The following is a 25,918-nucleotide window of genomic DNA, read 5'->3' as shown; positions in this document are numbered from 1 at the left end:
GAATTCCAACAAACACTTAGATGACTAACACCAATCCTTCCCAAACTCTTCCAAAAAAAATGAAGAAGAGGAATACTTTCAAATTCATTTTTCAAAACCAGCATTACCCTGATACCAAAACCAGAGAAGGACACTATAATAAAAATAAATTGCAGACCAATACTCCTGATGAACTTGGATGGAAAAACCTTCAGCCAAATATTAGCAAATATTATTTTTAAAAAAAAACAGCAAAAAAATTCACCATGCTTAAGTGGGATTCATCCCTGGGAAGCTTATTAGTCTTATTTGATTCGTGTAATCAGAAAATTTCTATGTCTAGTGAAGAGAAATGAGAGCAATAGAGACTCATAGCACCTCAACAAATGTCCAGGCTTGAGCCAGTTAACAAATACAAGTCCTTCAAATACAAAAAAGACTGTGAAAGAAAATAGAACAGATCAATGAGACTAAGAATTTGTTCTTTGAAAAGATAAAACTGACAAACCATTAGCTAGACTAGAAAAATGAGAGAATACTCAAAGCAATAAAATCAGAAATGAAAGAGGAAATATTGCAACTAATACCACAGAAATACAGAGGATCATAAGAGGCCACTATAAACAATTACAAGCCAACAAATTGGATAACCTAGAAAAAGCAGATAAATTTCTAGAAAAATGCAACTTACCTAGAGAAAGTCAAGAAGAAAGATAAAATCTGAACAGAACAATACTGAGTATGGAGAGTATATCAATAATAAAACATCTCCCATCAAAGAACATCCCAGGACCAGAAAACTTCATTGCTGAATTCTAACATTTTAAAAAATAATAATACAATCCTTCTGAAATTCTTCCAAAAACTTGAAGGAGAAAGAGTATTTCCAAACTCATTTTAAAAGATCAGCATTATTGTTTTTTTTTAAAGTGATGTTCCCCTTCCTGTGTCCATGTGTTCTCATTGTCCAATTCCCACCTATGAGTGAGAACATGCGGTGTTTGGTTTTTTGTCCTTGTGATTGTTTGCTGAGAATGATGGTTTCCAGCTTCACCCATGTCCCTACAAAGGACATGAACTCATCATTTTTTATGGCTGCATAGTATTCCATGGTGTATATGTGCCACATTTTCTTAATCCAGTCTATCATTGTTGGACATTTGGATTGGTTCCAAGTCTTTGCTATTGTGAATAGTGCCACAGTAAACATACGTGTGCATGTGTCTTTATAGCAGCATGATTTATAGTCCTTTGGGTATATACCCAGTAATGGGATGGCTGGGTCAAATGGTATTTCTAGTTCTAGATCCCTGCGGAATCGCCACACTGTCTTCCACAATGGTTGAACTAGTTTACAGTCCCACCAACAGTGTAAAAATGTTCCTATTTCTCCACATCCTCTCCAGCACCTGTTGTTTCCTGACTTTTTAATGATGGCCATTCTAACTGGTGTAAGATGGTATCTCATTGTGGTTTTGATTTGCATTTCTCTGATGGCCAGTGATAGTGAGCATTTTTTCATGTGTTTTTTGGCTGCATAAATGTCTTCTTTTGAGAAGTGTCTGTTCATATCCTTTGCCCACTTTTTGATGGGGTTGTTTGTTTTTTTCTTGTAAATTTGTTTGGGTTCATTGTAGATTCCGGATATTAGCACTGGGGCCTGTTGTGGGGTGGGGGGAGGGGGGAGGGATAGCATTAGGAGATATACCTAATGTTAAATGATGAGTTAATGGGTGCAGCACACCAGTATGGCACATGTATACATATGTAACTAACCTGTACGTTGTGCACATGTATCCTAAAACTTAAAGTATAATTTAAAAAATAAATAAATAAAAATAAAAATAAAAAGGCAAACAAGGACACTATAAGAAAAGTATGGGCCAACCAATATCCCTGATGAACACAGATACAAAAGTCCTCAAAAAAAAGTACTAGCAAGCAGAATTTAACAACATATTAGGAGAACATTTACCATGATAAAGTGGATTTATCCTCCAGATGTTTCAGCAAACACAAATCAAATGTGATAAACCACATTAACAGAATGAAGGATAAAAAAATAGCTATCTCTATATATGCAGAAAAAGCATTTGACTAAATTCAAAATCCTCTCATGACTAAACCTCTCAACAAATTGGGCATAGAAGGCATGTACCTTAACACAAAACAGGACATATATAACAAGCTCACAGCTCACATCATACCCAACAATGAAAAAGTGAAATCTTTTCTGCTAAGATCAAAAACAAGACAAGGATATTTATTCTCACTACTTCTATTCAACTTATTTCTGGAAGTCCTAGCCAGAGCAATTAAGCCAAATAAAGAAATAAAAGATTCAAATTGAAAAGGAAGAAGTAAAATTGTCTCTGTTTGATGACATATTATATATAGGAAACCCTAAAAACTCCACCAAAAAGCTATTAGAAATGATAAATGAATTCAATAAAATTTCAGAATTCAAAATCAATGTACAAAACTCAGTAGTTTCTTTACACTCACAACAAACTATATGACAAAAATAAAGAAATCAATCTCATTCACAGTAGCATCAAAAAAAACGTATTTTTTTTGTTTAGGAGCACATTTAGGATTGTACTTAGGAGTACATTTAACCAAGGAGGTGAAAGATCTGTATTCTGAACACTATAAAACATTGATGAAAAATTGTAGATGACACAAATACATGGAAAGATATTTTATGTTCATGGGTAGGAAGAATTAATATTCTTAAAATGTCCTTACTGCCCAAAGCGATTTATAGGTTTAATGCAATATTTATCAAAATTTCAATGTCATTCTTCACAGAAATAGAAAAAACAATTTGAAAATTTATATGGAACCACAAAGGATCCTGAATAACTAAAGGACTCTTGAGCAATAAGAACAAAGCTGAAGGCCTCACAATCTGACTTCAAAACATATTACAGGAAAAGAACAAAAGAAGGAAGAAGAGGGTAGAGGAGAAGTGCAGCAAGGGTGGAGGGAGGTGCCCACGCTGGGTCGGAGGAGCAGGAGGAGTATGGAGGGAAGACTCCTGGGTGGCATGGAGCTCTTGCACCTCTAGGCACTGCCCAGCCCTGTGTCAGCCAGGGCTGAACCCCCACAGGATAAGGAAGCCTGTGTGTGTACCAACAATCAAAGCTACATCTGTGACACAACAGGACACTGCTATGGGCAGTCTCAGTGTTGTAACTACTACTATGAACATTGGTGGTTCTGGCTGGCGTGGACCATCACCATCATCCTGAGCTGCTGCTGTGTCTGCCACCACAGCCAAGCCAGCCCTCAAGTCCAGCAGTAGCAACATGAAATCAACCTGACTGCCTATCCAGAAGCCCGCAATTACTCAGTGCTACCATTTTATTTCACCAAACTATTTATTACCTTCTTATGAGGAAGTGGTGAACTAACCTCCACCTGTTTCCCTCCCTGTCTGTCCATTGTGGATGAGCTCTGAGCCCTGTTTTCCTGTGAAGATTCTTTGAATTGCAGCCATTCTATTCACATGAACTCTCACATCTGGAGCACAGATGGCCCTCTCAAGGTAATTTATTGTATGCATTGACTGTTTACCAAACAAATGTCTTACTATGTACTCAGGTATATTCAGCAGCATTGTCGACTGCAGTCCCCTATGCTTGCCAGAAGATACTGTATTCAAAGTAGAAGTTTCACAGTGATGAGTAATCACTGCAATTTTCCCATTGCTCCATGGACTCTCGGAGGCCGGTGTTCTGTTCCCTGTAAATAGAGATGTACTCTGAACCTTTCTGCCTCCCTCAGCTGTTCCTAGTCCTTGGTATCAGCCCCTGGAGATGTCCACAACCACTTAGGACAAAAGGCAAAAGTGGAATTTCAGACAAAACTTTGATAGGATCTTCAGTGATAAACTTGGACTAACTGTGGCCCAGGTATCAGCACTCCCAAGAATTGCCAGGAGGAAGCTTTGGCAGACACCACAGGTATGGCAAGGCCTATCTCCCTCTGCTGAATCCAACAGGGGCAAGCAAGCTGGCATGTGGCTTGAGGTGACCCGAATATGTCAGCACCCCTCAGATGTCTTTCTTTGCACTTTTGAAAAAAATCTCAGAATTTGCTGGCAACATGGCCAAATAGGAACAGCTCCAGTCTGCAGCTCCCAGTGAGATCAATGCAGAATGCAGGTGATTTCTGCATTTCCAACTGAGGTACCTGGTTCATCTCACTGGGACTGGTTGGACAGTGGGTGCAGCCCACGGAGGGTGAGCCAAAGCAGAATGGGGTGTTGCCTCACCCAGGAAGTGCAAGGGGTTGGGGGAATTCCCTCCCCTAGCCAAGGGAAGCCCCGAGGGACTGTACCATGAGGAACGGTGCACTCCACCCAGAAACTATGCTTTTCTCATGGTCTTCACAATCCACAGACCAGGAGATTCCCTCCAGTGCCTCTGCCACCAAGGCCCTAGGTTTCAAGCACAAAACTAGGCAGCTGTTTGGGCAGACACCGAGCTAGCTGCAGGAGGTTTTTTTTTTTTCATGCCACAGTGGCAACTGGAATGCCAACAAGACAGAACCATTCTCTCTCCTGGAAAGGGGGCTGAAGCCAGGGAGCCAAGTGGTCTGGCTCGGCGGGTCCCACCCCTACAGAGCCCAGCAAGCTAAGATCCACTGGCTTGAAATTCTTGCACAGCAGTCTGAGGTTGACCTAGGACACTAGAGCTTGGTGGGGGGAGGGGCTTCCACATTGCCAAGGCTTGAGTAGGCAGTTTTACCCCCACTGTGTAAACAAAGCCACCAGAAAGTTTGAACTGGGTGGAGCCCACCACAACTCAGCAAGGCCACAGCAGCCAGACTGCCTCTCTAGATTTCTCCTCTCTGGGCAAGGCATCTCTGAAAAAAGGGCAGCAGCCCCAGTCAGAGACCTATAGATAAAACCCCCATCTCCCTGGAACAGAGCACCTAGGGGAAAGGGCGGCTGTGGGCACAGCTTCAGCAGACTTAAAGCATCTTTGAAAAGCCTGATGGCTCTGAAGAGAGCAGCAGATCTCCCTGCACAGTATTCGAGCTCTGATAAGGGTCAGACTGCCTCCTCAAGTGGGTCCCTGACCCCCGTGTATCCTGACTGGGAGACACCTCCCAGTAGGTGCCAACAGGCACCTCATACAGGAGAGCTCTGGCTGGCATCTGGTGGGTGCCCCTCTGGGACAAAACTTCCAGAGGAAGAAACAGGCAGCAATCTTGGCTGTTCTCCAGCCTCTGCTGGTGATACCCAGGCAAACAGGGTCTAGAGTAGACCTAGGGCAAACCCCAACAGACCTGCAGCAGAGGGGCCTGACTGTTAGAAGGAAAACTAACAAACAAAAAGGAATAGCATCAACATCAACAAAAAGGACAGCCACTCAGTGACCCCATCAGAAGGTCACCAACATCAGAAACCACAGGTAGATAAATCCATGAAGATGGAGAGAAACCAGAGCAAAAAGGCTGAAAATTCCAAAAACCAGAACGCCTCTTCTCCTCCAAAGGATCACAACTCCTCACCAGCAAGGGAACAAAAGAAAACTGGACAGAGAATGAGTTTGACGAATTGAGAGAAGTAGGTTTCAGAAGGTAGGTAATAACAAACTCCTCCAAGCTAAAGGAGCATGTCCTAACCCAATGTAAGGAAGCTAAGGACCTGGAAAAAAGGCTAGACCACTTGCTAACTAGAATAACCAGTTTAGAGAAGAACATAAATGACCTGATGGAGCTGAAAAACACGCCATGAGAACTTCATGCAGCATGCACAAGGATCAAGCACTGATTCGGTCAAGCGGAAGAAAGATATCAGAGACTGAATATCAACTTAATGAAATAAATCAAGAAGACAAGATTAGAGAAAAAAGAATGAAAAGAAATGAACAAAGCCTCCAAGAAATATGGGACTATGTGAAACGACCAAATCTACGTTTGATTGCTGTACCTGAAAGTGATGGGGAGAATGGAACCAAGTTAGAAAACACTCTTCGGGATATTATCCAGGAGAACTTCCCTAACCTAGCAAGGCAGGCCAATATTCAAATTCAGAAATATGGAGAACATCACAAAGACACTCCTCAAGAAAAGCAACCCCAAGACACATAGTCATCAGATTGAGCAAGGTTGAAATGAAGGAAAAAATGTTAAGGGCAGCCAGAGAGAAAGGTCAGGTTACCCACAAAGGGAAGCCCATCAGACTAACAGCAGATCTATCAGCAGAAACTCTACAAGCCAGAAGAGAATGGGGGCCAATATTCAACATTCTTAAAGAAAAGAATTTTCCACCCAGGATTTCATATCCAGCCAAACTAAGCTTCATAAGTGAAGGAGAAATAAAATCCTTTACAGACAAGCAAATGCTGAGAGATTTTGTCACCACCAGGCCTGCCTTAAAGGAGCTCCTGAAGGAAGCACTAAACATGGAAAGGAACAACTGGTATCAGCCACTGCAAAAACATACCAAATTGTAAAGACCGTTGACACTATGAAGAAACTGCATTAACTAACAGCAAAATAACCAGCTAGCATCGTAATGACAGGATCAAATTCACACATAACAATATCAACCTTAAATGTAAATGGGCTAAATGCTCCAATTAAAAAACACAGACTGGCAAATTGGCTAAAGAGTCAAGACCCATCAGTGTTCTGTATTCAGGAGACCCATCTCACGTGCAAAGACACAAATAGGCTCAAAATAAAGGGATGGAGGAATACTTACCAAGCAAATGGAAGGCAAAAAAAAGCAGGGGTTGCAATCCTAGTCTCTGATAAAACAGACTTTAAACCAACAAAGATCAAAAGAGACAAATAAGGGCATTGCATAATGGTAAAAGGATCAATGCAACAAGAAGAGCTAATTATCCTAAATATATATGCACCCAACACAGGAGCACCCAGATGCATAAAGTAAGCTCTTAGAGACTTAAAAAGAGACTTAGACCCTCACACAATAATAGTGGGAGACTTTAACACCCCACTGTCAATACTAGACAGATCAACGAAACAGAAAGTTAACAAGGATATCCAGGACTTGAACTCAGCTCTGGACCAAGTGGATCCAATAGGCAGCTACAGAACTCTCCACCCCAAATCAACGGAATATACATTCTTCTCAGCACCACATTGCACTTATTCTAAAATTGACCACATATTTGGAAGTAAAACACTCCTCAGCAAATGCAAAAAAAAATGGGAATCATAACAGTCTCTCAGATCGCAGTGCAATTAAATTAGAACTCAGGATTAAGAAACTGACTCAAACCCACACAACTACATGTAAACTGAACAACCTGCTCCTGAACAACTACTGGGTAAATAAAGATATTAAGGCAGAAATAAATAAGTTATTTGAAACCAATGAGAACAAAGACATAACATACCAGAATCTCTGGTACACAATTATAGTAGTGTGTAGAGGGAAATTTATAGCACTAAATGCCCACAAGAGAAAGCAGGAAAGATCTAAAATTGACACCCTAACATCTCAATTAAAAGAACTCAAGAGGCAGGAGCATACAAAAAGCTAGCAGAGGACAATAAATAACTAAGATCAGAGCAGAACTGAAGGAGATAGAGACACAAAAAAACCTTCAAAAAAAAATCAATGAATCCAGGAGCTGGTTTTTTGAAAATATCAATAAAATAGATAGACCACTAGCCAGACTCATAAAGAAGAAAACAGAGAAGAATCAAACAGATGCAATAAAAAATGATAAAGGAGATACCACCACTGATCCCACAGAAATACAAACTACTATCAGAGAATACTATAAACACCTCTACACAAACTAGAAAATCTAGAAGAAATGGACAAATTCCTGGACACATACGCCCTCCCAAGACTAAACCAGGAAGAAGTTGAATCCCTGAATAGACCAATAACAAGGTCTGAAATTGTGGCAGTAATTAATAGCCTACCAACCAAAAAACAGTCCAGGACCAGATGGATTCACAGCCGAATTCTACCAGAGGTACAAAGAGGAGTTGGTACCATTCCTTCTGAAACTATTCCAAACAACAGAAAAAGAGAGAATCCTCCCTAACTCATTTTATGAGGCCAGAATAATTCTGGTACCAAAATTTGGCAGAGACACACACAAAAAAAAGAAAATTTCAAGCCAATATCCCTGATGAACATCGATGCAAAAATCCTCAATAAAATACTGGCAAACCAAATCCAGCAGCACATCAAAAGCTTGTCCACCACAATCAAGTCGGCTTCATCCCTGGGATACAAGGCTAGTTCAACATACGCAAATCAATAAACATAATTCATCATATAAATAGAACCAATGGCAAAAACCACATGCTTCTCTCAATAGATGCAGAAAAGGCCTTCGACAAAATTCAGCAGCCCTTCATGCTAAAAACTCTCAATAAACTAGGTACTGATGGAACATATCTCAAAATAATAATACCTATTTATGAAAAACCCACAGCCAATACTGAATGGTGAAAAACTGGAAGCATTCCCTTTGAAAACCAGCACAAGACAAGGATGCCCTATCTCACCACTCCTATTCAACGTAGTATTGGAAGTTCTGGCCAGGGCAATCAGGCAAGAGAAAGAAATTGTCTCTGTTTGCAGATGACATGATTGTGTATTTAGAAAACCCCATGGTCTCAGCCCAAAATCTTCTTAAGCTAATAAGCAACTTCAGAAAAGTCTCAGGATACAAAATCAATGTGCAAAAATCAAGCATTCCTATATGCAAAAAACAGACAAACAGAGAGCCAAATCATGAGTGAACTCTCCCATTCACAATTGCTACTATGAGAATAAAATACCTAGGAATCCAACTTACAAGGGATGTGAAGGACCTCTTCAAGGAGAACTACAAACCACTGCTCAAGGAAATAAGAGAGGACACAAACAAATGGAAAAACATTCCATGCTCATGGATAGGAAGAATCAATATCATGAAAATGGACATACTGCCCAAAGTTTTTATAGACTCAATGCTATCCCCATCAAGCTACCACTGACTTTGTTCACAGAATTGGAAAAAACTACTTTAAATTTCATATGGAACCAAAAATGAGCCCGCAGAGCTAGGACAGTCCTAAGCAAGTAGAACAAATCTGGAGGCATCACGCTGTCTGACTTCAAACTATACTACAAGCCTTCAGTAACCAAAACAGCATGGTACTGGTACCAAAACAGATATGTAGACCAATGGAACAGAACAGAGGCCTCAGAAATAACGCCACACATCTACAACTATCTGATCTTTGACAAACCTGACAAAAACAAGCAATGGGGAAACGATTCCCTTTTTAATAAATGGTGTTGGGAAAACTGGCTAGCCATATGCAGAAAACTGAAACTGGATCCCTTCCTTACACCTTACACAAAAATTAGCTCACGATGTATTAAAGACTTAAACATAAGATCTAAAACCATAAAAAACCCTAGAAGAAAACCTAGGCAATACCATTCAGTACATAGGCATGGACAAAAACTTCATGACTAAAACACCAAAAGCAATTGCAACAAAAACCAAAATAGACAAATGGGATCTAATTAAACTAAAGAGCTTCTGCACAGCAAAAGAAACTGTCATCAGAGTGAACAGGCAACCTACAGAATGGGTGAAAATTTTTGCAATCTATCCATCTGACAAAGGGCTAATATCCAGAATCTACAAAGAACTTAAACAATTTACAAGAAAATAACAAACAAACCCATCAATGGGTGAAGGATATGAACTGACATTTCTCTAAAGAAGACATTTATGCAGCCAACAAACATATGAAAAAAAGCTCATCATCACTGGTCATCAGAGAAATGCATATCAATACCACAATGAGATACCATCTCACGCCAGATAGAATGGCGATCATTAAAAAGTCAGGAAACAACAGATGCTGGAAAGGATGTGGAGAAATAAGAATGCTTTTACACTGTTGGTGGGAGTGTAAATTAGTTCAACCATTGTGGAAGACAGTGTGGTGATTCCTCAAGGTTCTAGAACTAGAAATATGATTTGACCCAGCAATCGCATTACTGGGTATATATCCAAAGGATTATAAATCATTCTACCATAAAGACACATGCATACATATGTTTATTGTGGCACTGTTCACAATAGCAAAGACTTGGAACCAACCAAAATGCCCATTCAATGATAGACTGCATAAAGAAAATGTGGCACATATACACCATGGAATACTATGCAGCCATAAAGAAGGATGAGTTCATATCCTTTTCAGGGACATGGATGAAGCTGGAAACCATCATTCTCAGCAAACTAATCCAAGAACAGAAAACCAAACACCCGATGTTCTCACTCATAAATGGGAGTTGAACAATGAGAACACATGGACAGAGGGAGGGGAACACAACACACCGGGGCCTGTCTGGGGGTAGGGGCTAGGGGAAGGTTAGCATTGGGTTAAATACCTAATGTAGATGATGGGTTGATGGGTGCAGCAAACCACCATGGCACGTGTATACCTATGTAACAATCCTGCATGTTCTGCACATGTACCCCAGAACTTAAAATATAATTTAAAAAAAAATCTCAAACAACTCACTGAAGTGTCTCAAAGCTGAACAAGTTTTACCAAAATGAATCCTTCTCAGTTAACTGATCAAATGGATGAATCCTGACCCTCTGAAGTCTCTTTCCTGAGTTAGAGCAGGGAACTGCTCTGAGTGTTAACTGTTGGATTCACTGCAGTGTCCTACAATATTTTACAAGAAGATGAAAAGGCAACCTGCAGACCTAGGCTTGATTCCCAAGTCACAGTCTGACCCCTGCTACAGGAGGTTACCCTCCTCAGGAAGAGATAGAAATAGGGAATTTGAAGGAATAGTGAGGGGACCAGGGAGATTTGATTGAGTCTGGTTTCCAGGTGAATTAAAAGGAAGGGTGTCATCCAGGGTTTGTTGCTACAGTCAAAAGAATAAATAAATCAATGAAGAAATACCTTCATTGTCTGTGGTTTTCATGCAGATATACTCATGGAGGTTGTATCTCTCCAAAAACAGACAAATCCAAGGCTGTGAACAAGCATCCGCATTTGAATTCCATTAAACCAAAATCTATGTTGAACGAAGTGAAGTCTGTACACAGCATTGCAAATGTGAACACATTCCTGTGTGAGGCACATCAACATTTGTCAGTTATTGTGAATATGTGTATTTTTAAGCAATAAGATGCAGCTGGTCAGTTTTCTGGGCAATCTTGGCGATGCATTTCCTGTGCTGTGGTTGTTCTCTAACCACTGTGAGAAACCCAAATAAAAATCGATCCCCCCCCAAAACAAATACGTATCACAAAACCATAGTAATCAAAACAACATGACACTTGCACAAAAACAGACACATTGACCAGGGGAACAGAATAAGGAGCCCAGAAATAAACTCATGCATTTATGACCAATAAATTTTTGACAAAGGTGCCCAGAAAACGTAATGAAGAATAGACATTTGTTTCAATAAATGGTGTTAAGAAAACTAGATATCCACATGCAGAAGAACACGAATGTGTATGGTGTGTATCCTTATCTCACACCATACACAAAAATCAATTCAAAATGGATTAAAGGTTTAAACATAAAACTGTAAAACTACTAGATGAAAACATAGGGGAAAAGTTCCACAATGTTGGTTTGGTCAAAGATTTCTTGGATATAACCCCCAAAGCACAGGCAACAAAAGCAAAAATATATGGGATTGCATCAAACTAAAAAGCTTCTGCACAGCAAAGGAAACAATATGGTGAAGAGACAACCTACAAGTTGTGAGAAAATATTTGCAGAGCATACATCTGATGAAAGGCTAATCTCCAAATATATAAGGGACTCAACTCAATATCAAGAAAACAAATAACCAAGTCAAAAAATGGGCAAGGTCCTAAATAGACATTTCTCAAAAAAAATACAAATGACTAACATAAAAAAAGTTTGTCATCCTAATTATCAGGGAAATGCAAATTAAAATGACAGTGAGATGCCACTTCATACCTGTTAGAATGGCTACTATCAAAATGATAAAAGATAACAAGTGTTGAAGAGGATACAGAGAAAAGGGAACCCTCGTACACTGTTGGTGGAAATGTAAATTAATACTATTATGAAAAATAGATAAAAGTTACTCAAAAAACTAAAACTAGAATTACTATATGATCCAGCAATCCCACTTCCTTGTATATATCCAAAGGAATTTAAGTCAATATGCTGAAGAGATATCTCCAGGCTCATGTTCATTGCAGCATTATTCACAATACCCAAATATGAAATCAACACAGGTGTCTATCAACTGACAAATGGATGAAGAAAATGTAGTGTATATATACAATGGAATACTACTCAGCCTTAATAGGAAGGAAAACCTGATATATGTGACAACATGAATTAACCCAGAAGATATCACGCTAAGTGAAATAAGCCAGGCACGAAAAGACAAATATCACATGATCTCACTGATATGTGGAATCTGAAAAAGTTGAATTCATAGAAGTAGAGAATGGAATGGTGATTATCAGAGGCTAGGAGTTGGGGGTAGACATGGAAAAGGTAGATGTTGATAAAAGGGTTCAAAGTTTCAGTTAGACAAAGTTTCAGTGAACTATTGCACAGAATGGTGACTGTAATAAATAACAAGGTATTGTATGTTTCAAAATGACTAACAGAGTAGATTTTAAATGTTTTCACCACAAAAAAGATATGTATGTCAATAAGATAGACCTAATCTTTCCACAATTTAAACATGTATCAAAACATTACATTGTACCCCATAGATACAATTATTATTTGTCAATTTAAAATTTTTCACTAATTTATATTGTTATTGTTGCACCAACTCCTTTCCACCAGGCAGATTCTCATAAAGACTATTTTCTCTCTTACATGAAGCATTTCCTACACACCTCTTAATCACGGTAGCATTGACATCATTCCACCAGATTCTATCTCCAGTGTTAAAATAATCAAGAACCCAGAAATCTCCACCAGGGGGCAACCAATGCGTATCAAAGTTTCCCACTTTCCTTTAGATTTACTTATGGGTAACTTATGGGAAAAAATACTTAAGTACTTCCCTTTTTAAAGAAAAAAATTATATGAATTCTACAAAATTATGGCAGAAAATTTAAGAAGAGCAGATGCTTCCCAACTCATTCTAAAGGGCCAGCATTACCCTGATTCTGAAATGAAAAAGCTTTACAAAATCCAAGATCCATTCCTGACTAAAGATAAAAGAAATTTTCAGCAAACTGTGAATACAGAAAACTTTCTCAGCCTGTTAAAGAGTACCTATGAAAAAAATTATAGCTAACATTATACTTAATGATGAAATATTTAATATATTTCATAACAGGAACAAGTCAAAGATGTCTGCTCTAACTAATTCTACTCAGCATTCAACAAAATGAATATAGTGAATTCATACTAGAATTTTAAAAGCAAATGTCTTTATTCACTGACAACATAATCATCTATAAAGAAAATCCTACATAACCTATAAAAAACTGATGGAACTAATAAGTTTTGCAAGTTTACAGGATATAATGTCAAACAAAGATCTATTATGTGCCCATAAGCTAAGAATAAACAATTGTAAATTGAAATAAAAATGTCACTTAAAAGGGCATCAGAAATATAAAACTTAGAGATAAATATAAAGTACATATGCATAAAGTACCTGTTCACCAAAAACTACAAAACATTGCTGAAAGAAATTAAATGGGCATAATATAGATGTAGAGATGTGTTGAATTTATGACTCATTTTGAACAAGGAATATATTCATCATATATTCATCAGATAAGAATTATGTTACAGGTCTAATAACATTCAAATCAATACATAATGTCTCATAGTTCCTGAATCTAAAATATCAAAGAAAGAAACATAAAGCCATATCATGTTTAACGAGAAGGGCTTATTGTATCATTTATGAGATCTTCTTGTAAATCACTAGCTGTTTGCATACTCTCTTTATTGCTGCCTTCATCTCCTTATTCCTGAATGTATAGACAACTGGATTCAGAAAAGGAGTGAGAACTGCATCAAAAATAGCCAGAAACTTGTCCATCTGTGAATTAGGGTGTGGCCATGTATACACAAACATGGGTGGACCAAAGAACAAAAGGACCGCTGTGCTGTGAGCTGAAAGAGTGGAAAGGGCCTTGGATGAACCACCTGAGGAATGTTTCCAAACAGTAAACAGGATGAAGACGTAGGAGATTAGAAGTATGAAGAAAGTACCCACACAGATAAACCCACTGTTAACAGTGACCATGAACTGCAATCTGTAGGTGTCGGTACAGGCTAGTCTGAGAAGCTGAGGAAGGTCACAGTAGAAGCTGTCCAACACATTAGGGCCACAGAAGGGTAAATTAACAAGAAATGCCAGTTGGAACAGGGAGTGACTGACAACAAGGGTCCAGGCAACAGCCAGAAATGAAAGGCACATTCTTGGGCTCATAATGGTCAGATAGTGGAGGGGCTTAATAGGGCCACATAACTGTCAAAGGCCATGGCTATGAGCAGCACCATCTCCACACCACCAATGACGTGGATGAAGAAGATTTGAGCGATGCAGCCTCCAAAGGAGATGACTTTGCGCTTTCTGAACAGGTCATAAATCATCTTGGGAGAAGTGACAGAGCAGGCTCCTAAGTCAATGAAGGAGAGACTGACCAGTAGAAAGTACATGGGGGAGTGTAAGTGAGGGTCAGTGGTCACAGAAAACACAATGAGGATGTTTCCAGTAATGCTTGCCACATAGAGCACAGAGGAAAACACTAGGAGGAGGAGCTGGATCTCCCATGAATGAGTGAGTCCCAGAAACAAAAACTCAGATACCACTGAGTGATTCTCTCCATCCATTGGTCCAGCCAACTGGGCTGTGGCTAAAATTATGAGAACTAAGAAAATGGGGAGGAAATTGTGATTATGAAGATAATATGTACTAAAATCAATATTGCAATGTCACTATGAATAAATAGTATACAGTTATTCTGTTCCTCACATATTAAAAACAAAAAATCAACATAATATTATCACAACATGTGAGCTGCAACCTGATTTAAACCCATCATCAATACTTTCAGTGTAATGTCTGATCTAAAATTAACAGATTAGGTAAGAACAAGATTCCTGACTATCCATGAAATTCATCAGGTGTTTAAATGACCTGCGATATTAACTATTCCTCATTTCCAACATATTCCATTTGTACTTATACATATTCTTATAATTTCCTTCCCTTCCCAGTTTGCAGCCACAATTCTCTGACAGAAAGTAGACATAAGAGGAAAACATGATTAACAGATGGATTATCACCTGCAGTAAGAGGTGCCTGGGACGGACTTAGTTGAGGTAGGCTGTGGATTGAGACAGAATATAGAGACTGGGGTATGTGAAATCGGAAAGCCCACAACTGTAGCAGAACAGAGTAAGTGGACTTTCACAAGAAATAGAATCACCACCATTATCTACCACATTTTCTCCTGCTCACTGCTATTTAAGTGCCTCAGTTTCTATACAATCTTTCACAATTACGAAGCCCTAAATGGCTTCCCATCCTGCAGTGATTTCATAAGGAGCCTATGCCACCTGTCATGTAAGGCTTTTTCCATGCCTAATAAATATGTTTTGGAGGGATTTCACCAGAGTTTTTGCTAAGATGCATAAAATGGCCACAGAGGTTGTGAGAAATCTCTGCAGTTTCTCTTTGTCTATACACATGAAAGTATTGAAGACCAGCACTTGGATTAGTTAAGATAATGTTTTAATTCATCACTGTCTCCTCCTCCCCTTGGTACCAGCTTTTATGTTCATTGCATTCCCCATCCTTTTAAGTACTCAGTACCTCCTGCATGGTAACCTATTCTGATATTTGATATTATCATGCTTAATTTGACTGAATCCATTTGGATATTTTATCTTTAAGAAATTTGTAGTTTTATACTTTTAATTTATGATAAAATTAGATTAATATCAAACATTAACAAGTGACTTTTAGGAAGGTATATGAGCTTTCTTATTGACTTCAAACTATAAAGTACAAACTGTGACACTAGAAATTTAGTCCTTTAACACATGTTGTATTTATATGTGAAGTGGAGGGTGAGCAGAAAACAGTGTTATATTTCTCTGTGTCCAGATGGATACTCACCTCAATCATTTTCCTATAGTAGAAAGTAGTTCCTGAAAACACTTAATAGAGATTATTTTAGAAGTTGCTGAGGTACAAATAAAACTGCTATGCTGACATCATACTTTTTTGCACCAACAACTCCAGTTCTTCTGACACAAAGGACCATCTTCCTAGTGCCATAATTTATCTTAGACCCCAAAACTCACAGAGGCACACATCATATCTCTAATACTTGCTCACCACCACTGGCATGAGTCTCTCTCTATCCTCTTCTACGTGAAGTGATTATACTGTCACCTCTGGAGCTAACTGTCCACAGTCTCAAGATGCACACTTTTACAACCAGAAGCCTATGGACTGGGTGAGGGAGCAGAAACAGCCACAGGTACTGCCCATCAGGGTAATGTAAGTCAGCATGCAAACAACTGATCAGATGAACATGAATAGCAAGGTGCTGAGGCACTGGGAAGAGGGACCGGAAAACTCTATAATTGTTGAAAAAGACTCAAGCCCTTGGGAAGGGAAATGCCTACGAAATTATATAAAGACCATTTTATCCAAGTTGGTCATCATTCAGATGAAAACCATGAGGCCCAGAAAAGTAAACTGAGTTTCCAGAATTCACACAATTGATAGAATAGGAACCAGAATTCAGGCCTCTTGCTTCCTATTCCAGAAAGACAAATTGCAATAATAATCAAATAATATGAGCAATCATCCAGTAAAAATAATCTAGTAAAAACAGCAAAACTCAAAAGAGTGATTTTTCCTGGTTAAGACCAAAACTAACCATAGATTGCTATACATAGTATCTATTATAAATACTGAATTATATAGCAGCCTGACAATAAATACATAAAATGTGTACACAAAGATTATTGAACCTGTACAATACAGTAGTAAATAGTAACTTTATATTTGCAAAGTGACTGATCATTACTATCAGAATTTGTACCCATTCTTCATATTTTGTTGGTCATATAACCAGTTACTACAACTGCAAAAACAACCTAAGGTCATGTTTCTGTGAAGTCCATCCTTTTGGTCTTTAAATTTTATTATCCTCAAAGGTCAATTATGATCTCAATCTTTTCTTGTAATTTTACTGACAATTCTCCTTCACACTGATTTGTTCTTTCTCTAATTCCTGTAAATAGAAAGAACCAAAAAAAGTTGAAAAAACATGTATTGTACATATAACAAACAATCATATGTGGTATACAATATATATCAAATGAGTATTAAGATAAACATTCAAAGAGTTTTAAAGAAAAAAGTGTTATAGATATTGGAGGGCAGAAGAGACGATTGCCATTAAGAACAGGTGGAGGAGGTTATGCCAAGGACATTGACCTGACCCTTTAGGAATTAGTGAAAATTGAATAGGAGAAGAATGAGGTATACAATGTGTGAAAAATACCTAAATTGATATAACAGGAGGAGACCTTTTCATATCAATTATCATTACTTCTGTGTATATAACCATATTAGATACCCACAAACGAATAGAAAGTGGATAGTTCTTGATTGACAAGTAAGACTAATAATCCCAGATCATAGTAAGGTCTTAACTTCAAGTCAATAATCTTTATTACTTATGGTTCATTCCTCTCCCTCATGTTTTCCAATAATTTTAAAATGCATAATTAAAACAATTCTCATTTAAAAACATAGTAGCCATGACTAATGATCTTCCAGTGGGAAGGTACTAAGACTTTACAACATGTTTCTTGCTGGGGATAAGACAGCCTACAGCCAGCATTCAACTCATTTTTCTAAAGTCTATGGATCAATTTGAAATACAGAAAAAGTAGAACAGAGATAAAGTTAAAAAAAGATTAAAAATATGGGAAGAATGGGAGAAAGGGGAGATTAGAAGATATGAACAATGATTTAAAAATAAAAGAGCCTCAAAGGAGAAGAGAAACTGCTAAGCAAGACTAAGGTAGGATGAAATACAGTAGTCTCTGTTTCTGAGAACACAGGTTAAAAAGAACATAAATAAAATAAATTTATCACCTTTAATACACTCATTCAAGGATGCTACTGAGTTTGACTTTGGGAATTTCTCACCTTTAATACACTCATTTGGGGATGCTACGGACTTTGACATTGGGTTGCATTTAAAGGGGGAGAGAAAGGGCAGTTGCTTCTATTATCGCCCTGTTGGACTCACAGAGTTTCTTTGAAAAGCACAGATGATAATAAATGGAAATATTGCCTTTTATACTATACAATAATATACACATGCAATTCACTGGAAAAAGTATACTTGTTACTATGATTTGAGGATACTACCATATACTAATCAAGAGAAACACATGTACAGAACAAAGAAGGCACATGAAATTTTTACTAGTGTGTGTTTTCCTTGTGTTCTACCACCCCAGGAGCAGCTTCTGCTACTGAAGATCACAGTAGAGTTATTTCCAAAAGTTGTGGGTCTGCAGGGTGGACTTATCACATAGCTGTTTGCCAAAATTCAAAAGTCCAGAAACCATTTCCAAATTTTCACCTCTTTTATCTTCAAATCCTAAAACTATGAAAATTCACAAACTTAGCTCCATACATTATGGTAGAAAGGTTAATAATTTGGACTTTGAGTTTGACCAGGCCTGATTTTTGAATAAATTCACAAACTTACCTCCATACATTATGGTAGAAAGGTCAATAATCTGGACTTTGAGGTCGACCAGGCCTGATTTTTGGATCCAGGCTGCAACACTCACTTGCTGTGTTAATGTAACAAAGTTCCTAGACCATGCTGAGCTTCAGTTTACTTGTTATTGAATTAGGGATATAGCGTTCGAAGGAAGAAGTTCTAGTATTTGATTGCACAGCAGAGAAATTATAGTTATTGAACTGGGGATATGTAGATAGACATAATAAATTTTAGTATTCAATTATACAATGGAGAAATCATAGGGAACAATAATTTATTATATATTCTAAAATAGCTAGCAGAGAAAAATTATAATGTTCCCAACACAAAGAAAAGATAAATATTCGAGGTGATGAATATCCAAATTACTCTGATTTGATCATTACACATTGTATACATGTATCAAAAATATCACATGTACCCCAAAACATGTACAACTATGATACATCAATAAAAAACAACAAAAAAACCAAAAGAATAGAAATCAAAAATAAATACATAAATACATAAAATAGGGATAATAATACCTCCCTTGCTTGCTTGCTCCCTTGCTCCATTTGTAAGAAATAAGTGATATAATATAGGTAAAAATACTTAACCTCATACCTACCACACAGTATAGCACAATAAACGTTATTTATTATAATCTGAGGCCTACCTACATAAGTGACTTTCAAGTATAGAAAATTATTTCTCAAATTTTAAATACTCCCTGATTCTCAGGTATGGTAATTAGACCTGGCTTTAGGTAAAGCTCTCATGTCTACACTTGGATTTAATCACTTAAGTATATTTCCCAGTGCCCCCCCCAAAAAAAATTGCTCCTAGGTGGACACACTAATCAAAGACTTCCTGAGAAATGCAGGAAGAAGTTTTGTCCTCTGACCACGCTACACCCTTTCCTTGATGGTAAGCCCCATAATCTAAAGCCATAAGTTTCAATTCCTCACATAAAAAGAAAAAAAATGTCTTTTATGACCACTTCAGATAACACTGGATATTTCCCTTGTCATTAGGAATGAGAAATGGGAGGAAGGTAAACTTGTAGACAGGAGAATTGGTAGATGCTTGAAAGGATTTCTGAAAACTGTGCCTATCCAGGTGTACAAATGTGTTGACCAGCCAAGGCAAAGCAGTCAAACCATACAATACCTTATCCTCAGGAAAATGGACTTTTCTCCCAAATTGCCTTTTTCATGAAAAATATAAAATTCTCCAGTTTCAACCTCATGTTAAATTTCACATGTGAAGAAAACAGTCATGCACATCAGAAAATTAAATGGCGAGTCAAGACCAAATTCCTAGTCACAGTTATGTTCTGTTTCCAGTATTACCTTCTCACTTATTCATTTTGTTAAAGTGGAGCCAAAATAGAAGTGGGTGTCACACATCAAGAAAGACTGAAGTTGTACAAAGCCGATCCTTATCCAACGTGCATTAAAATATGCATCAGGCATGTGTGATGCATATAGTAGAAGTGGAACAAATCAGGCCAGGTGCAGTGGCTCACGCCTGTCAGCCCAGCACTTTGGGAGGCCAAAGCAAGCAAATCGCTTGAGATCAGCAGTTCAAGAAGTGTAACAAATCCTCTACAATATAAGTAGAGTGAAAAGAGATAGCTACAGTGATGAGGGAAGGCACTATAGTGATGTGGCATTTGAGTATAGCCATAAAAGAGGATAAATATTACAATACATGAATATAGGGTCTAAAGAAGTCTTTTCAAGTAGATTGTAAAATATTTCAAAAATGGTAAGTTTGGTGTATGTTGAAGCATACAGATTGTCTACATCCTAAAAATCATTTTGGTGAATAAAGGAAAATAAGAAAGGTAGTCAATATTCATTTGTTGCCTATCATTAGAAACTTCTCAAAGGTATATGAGAATTATTAAATAAATTTAGGAAGCCAGTGAAGGTATGGGTCCCGGGAATTGAGGATGAAGCCAATAATTAGGGAAGATGCCCTATCTATAAGTGTGATGTATCAAATGGAGGAAAAGAAAAACGGAGGGAAGGAGTTCCCTTAAGAGAAGATTGAAATAGAGCAGACTTGGGGGGCTACACAGAGGAACTGGGACTACACAGTTCCAGCTTTTTTTTTTTTTTGAGACGGAGTCTCGCTCTGTCGCCCAGGCTGGAGTGCAGTGGCGCAATCTCAGCTCACTGCAAGCTCTGCCTCCCGGGTTCACGCCATTCTCCTGCCTCAGCCTCCCGAGTAGCTGGGACTACAGGCGCCCGCCACTGCGCCCGGCTAATTTTTTGTATTTTTAGTAGAGACGGGGTTTCACCTTGTTAGCCAGGATGGTCTCGATCTCCTGACCTCATGATCCACCTGCCTCGGCCTCCCAAAGTGCTGGGATTACAGGCGTGAGCCACCGCGCCCGGCCCACAGTTCCAGCTTTAAGGCTATAGAAACAGAAATAGAAATACTGGTAAGTAAAAACCCAAAGGATTGGTGACTTATCACAGCTGGAGTGAATACGAAGGAGCATGAACTCAAAGAAAATATCAAGATTTAAGCAAGAATAAATAGGACAATGGTAGGTCCATTTTTAGAAATTAGAAAGTTGAACATAAAATATGTCAGGGTGGAGAAAATAATCACGTGTATTTTAAGCAAATAAGAGTATTAGATATTGAGATGCTCAGGTGAAAACATATGACAGGATATATGGGGGAAAAGTACAAATTCAACATGTAATTGTATAGTAATCCATATAAAAATAATAGACGGATGTGTAAGAGTGCATAAGGTCCCTGAAGGAAATAATACACAGGAAAAAAAGATTAAAAAGCAAAGACCCAACTATAGAAACTATCCACATTGATTATGTAAAGTAGGAAAAGGAATCAATAAACTAGACAGAACATCACAGAGGTAGGAGGACAAGTGCTGGCCTCAAGGAGCCAACACAGAAGCAGGTATCAAGAATAAAGGAGGAGAAGAGAGAACAAAGAGAGAGAGAAGAGAACTTCTGTGGCAGAAGATCAAGTGGGATGGTAGAATAAAGGAGAAGAAATACAAGAAAATTGAAATAAAATTTACAGAAATGTTCTACATTGTAAGTGGGCAGTTTTGACCTGGCACATTGTTGGCACACATTATAAATGTCAAATGTATTAATGAATGAATGAATGGATAATATAATGAATGTGATGGAGTTGTCAAAAGCTGAATTAATTAAAAGTCCCCACGAGAGGTTAGATGACAAAATTTTCAGAAACTTTCCATGCCACTCTGTTGTGACATCAACAGTGCTGGACCCTTGAAATCAAACCAAAAGGATTCCACCATGAGAATGAAAAGGGCTGAGAAGGGGAATGCTGGGTGACACAGAAGGTGACAAAGGGCGAAAGGTTTCTAGGCATTTGATAGACTGATGGACGTCCGCGCTGACCATAAGGCACAGGCCACACAGGAAGGAAAATGAGACCCAACGCGAAGAAAAGTAGGGCTAAACAGTCGGGAAAATGTGGGAAGAAGGATGAATAGTCATACGATCAACTCAGATTCCTCCCTGACATTCTTCTACAGCTTTATTCTCGTCCTTTGGGAGCCGAGATGTTCATTTTCCTACATTCTTAGCTGCCTACACACGGCGACTTTTCTCCACGGCGCCTGATCCCTGCTGCATCCTCCTTCTCTAGTGGCAACAGCAAATGGCCACACAGAAGGCAGACATTGCACCCAACTGAGGAGAATGTAATTCACTCATTGCCAGTCACAGACCTTGGCTCACCGATTTACTAAGTATAGATTTTATTTCTATCCCTCACCTACCTGTTTTGCCAAGGGAACTAAGAAAAGAGCATCATCAAAAATTCAGATAGGTATAGTTCTCACAAGATGAACCAGATCCAGTACGGCATCACTGCAGACATACACACAGAGCTGCATAAAACAGGAAGAGAGCTGCTAATCACAGCCCCAGAGGGTAGTGGCCAAAGTGATGCCTTGGAGATCCGAGAATGCCAGACTGAGATCACACGGCCTGGGGAATTACCGCCTATGGTCATTTTGGTTTTCCCGGGATAGCCATGTTAATTGGGTGAAATAAAGCATATTTGATTTTCTTATGACAAAAAAGGGCTTTTGCCATTGTCTACAGATGATACTTTAAATCTTTATTTTATGACTAAAGGTGAATTCCAGAGCAACATTAAATGTTGTCCCTTTAAATTTTTAATCATTTGCATAACGATTACCATAATATTCAATTTAAACATAAAATGTAATTGAAAGTATGAGATTAATATGTGGACATGAAATCATATAATGTTCCATGGAAAAAATAGAATGTATAAGGCAAAGAGGTTTAAAGTAACATCAAAACTAACGCTCACTATACAAATTCTATGAAATCCTCATAATTACACTGTGAAGCAGGTGTTGTTAGAGCCACATAATCTCAAACAAATTATTTATTATCTAAAATTACATAGATATTAAAAGGTTAGGCCATATATGAATTTAGGATTCTCTCAAAAATTTTTTCTCTTTCTCCTACATCAAACTTCCCTAAATTATAGAAAAGTCACAATGTTACCAAACAAATTCACAAAACACATATAATCTTGAATCCAAATTTCAGTTACAGCAGAAAAAATAAAACTCTAGATCAATCTCAATCGTGTAAATAAATTCAGATTTCCAATCTAAGAGTCTCAATTTGACATACTTCTTTCTCTCTCTTCTTTCAAACCAGGAGAAATATAAATATGAGCCACAACCTTACAAAAGCTAGAAAATATTTACAATTCCACACAACAACACATGAAGAAAACCTTCTGGACATCAAAAGTTTAAACCAGTCAAGACTGAACACCAAGATAAAGTGCATGCCTCTGAAGAGCTTGAGCTAGTCAAGAAGCCCAGAAATCCCTAAAAGAGGTGTGTATACTGAGGACTGAGGATCAAAACCTGTGATCTTTACTTGGAACAGAAATATTGCAGCATGTGAACCCTCCACAGAGTGACAGAGGGAAAGGAGTTTAAAGGGAAACATGCAAATGTATCACCTTTGGAATAATTAGGACACGTGTGTGGTGTAATGAAAGAAGGCAAAAAGATGGGGAAGAAGCCAGACAGATGGCAATTTTCATTCTATTATGAAAAGAAAAGGATAAGTCACAAGTCACATGACGAAATTAACAACTATGAATCCACTCTAAGCCATAGTCAATCCTATAGCCTAGGAGTCATTCTAACAGATGAGAGTGTTTTGGAGACAAGATTCCAAAACTCGTCTGCCTTCCATCATACTTACTACCCCCAGCTCCTCCTCCACAATATCCTTTCACAAGTATCTAGAATATTCAAAGACTAATAATATTATATAATTATTTATAATAATTGTATTACAAAAATAAAACTTGATGACCTTTATAAAAATACTAGAAGAAAAAGGGAAAATTACATAAGGTACAGAACATACAAATTATACCATGAAGCAGTAAAAAACAGGATCAAATTTTCTATGTTTTTTAAAAATATGCCTTCTCTAAAATGTTTTCTCTCTGAAATGATATTTAGAAGACATAATTGAAAATAAATACAAAATAAAGTGATAAAAAATAATCTGGCAAAATTCAGGATGTAATGAGTAAAGACAACCATGAAAGAAATGAAGATCAATAAAAGCAGGAAAAAAAGTGGGAAGTGGAGAGAATAATGCTGCTAAAAACACAGATAAGAATATAAATGACAGGCTTAAATATATCCTGAGCAAAACGAAATAGAAAACACAAGAAGGTGAAATGTAACATTAAAGTCAGGTCCAACAAATGAGAAATTAGTGTGAAAGAGCTCACAATATCTGGTTAAAAAATTCAAAGATAAAAGAAAACTTTTCTGAAATGAAGAAAACATTGAATCTAATGGTTAAAGGGCTTATCTTTATCCAGAAAAAATGTGTTATAGTATGACCACATCAAGGCAGATGCAACTGAATTTACCGGACTTCACAAACACAAAATAAACAACCCACAAAAAAAAAAAAAAAATAGAGTCCCCATGAGGCTTTAATGAAGACAACTATTAGAGGCCAGGCGCAGGGGCTAACACCTACAGTCCCAACACTTTGAAAGGCCAAGGCAGGAGAATCACTTGAGCCCAGGAGTTCAAGATAAGACCAGCCTGGGCAACATAGCAAGACCCCATCTCTATCAGAAAAACTTAAAAAAGAAAACTATCCACTAAAAATGAATAGAGATAACATGATACAAGTGAGCATTCTGAAGCCTAATATCAAAATGTTCTGGGGTTTGCGGTTAAAGAACAGAATGCAAATGTTACAAACCATAACTGTATAAAGACTAATTATATTCATAACAAAAATAAGAAGAGAAAGATAGTAGAAATATATTCTGGTCCATTCAACTTTCACAGTGGGAGAGAATCAACAAATTATGTTATGGGTGATTAAATATTATTTTAAAAGATAAAGGTCATTATTAGAAAAATTAAAAATAACAAAATCAAATAAAGTTGAATGACGAAGGTGGGAGAGGAAAGTGGGTTTAAGGGGTAAAGTGGAACTATATTAAAAGAGTCAATGGAGAGCACCCTTGGAAATAACACAAAAATTAAAGAACTAAATATAATTTATACAGCACATAACTAAACTATAAATCTTCAAATTAAAAGAAAATAGGTACATACAAAATATCACATAGAGAGATATTAATACCATGAAAATATTAAAATAAAAGCATAAAATTAATTCATTTATTTACCCTATTAGTATTTTTTGAACACCTATGTGCCAGGTATTGTGCTGAATGCCAGTAAGATATAGTTCCTGCATCTTGGAGTTTTCGTGGAGGAGACAGAGATTAATCAAACAATCACACAAATGTAAAATTGCAACCATAAAAATTACTCTGAAATACAATGAAAATTACTATAAGAGAGGGATTTGATGTGAGTCAGAGAAGTTTCCCCTAAGAAAGCAACACTGAAGCTGAGATCTAAAGGGTAAACAGCAGTTAACTGAGTGGAGAACAAAGGTTTTCCTGCAGGGGGAACAATCTGCTCCCCGAGGCCAGAGTGGGGCCTTGGGAGTTGTGCCTGAAACCACATTGTGAGGAAGTGAGGGGAAGCATTGTGCAGATAATGCTGAAATAAGTAGTGGAAGATGCTTCCTAAGAGAATGAGAAATC

The 25,918-nt window shown here is 37.7% G+C and overlaps 1 long non-coding RNA gene and 2 pseudogenes across 1 annotated transcript; all 3 read right to left on the bottom strand.

Annotated features, from left to right (window-relative positions):
* WBP1LP9 (WBP1L pseudogene 9) lies at positions 2,909–3,415 on the bottom strand (annotated as a pseudogene).
* OR4F8BP (olfactory receptor family 4 subfamily F member 8B pseudogene) lies at positions 13,384–15,392 on the bottom strand (annotated as a pseudogene).
* A 1,593-nt stretch (positions 15,393–16,985) lies between these two features.
* LOC105376332 (uncharacterized) lies at positions 16,986–19,094 on the bottom strand. Its single transcript, XR_001746986.1, has 2 exons — positions 18,738–19,094; positions 16,986–17,240 (listed from the first exon to the last, which is right to left on the bottom strand). It is a non-coding gene; the product is annotated as an uncharacterized LOC105376332 (long non-coding RNA).
* Between the last annotated feature and the right edge of the window lie 6,824 nt (positions 19,095–25,918).

Source organism: Homo sapiens, chromosome 9 (assembly GCF_000001405.40).
Source record: "Homo sapiens chromosome 9, GRCh38.p14 Primary Assembly".
Lineage (NCBI taxonomy): Eukaryota > Metazoa > Chordata > Mammalia > Primates > Hominidae > Homo > Homo sapiens.
The sequence above is the reverse complement of the archived record's forward strand: the minus strand, read 5'-3'. Positions and strand labels throughout refer to the sequence as shown.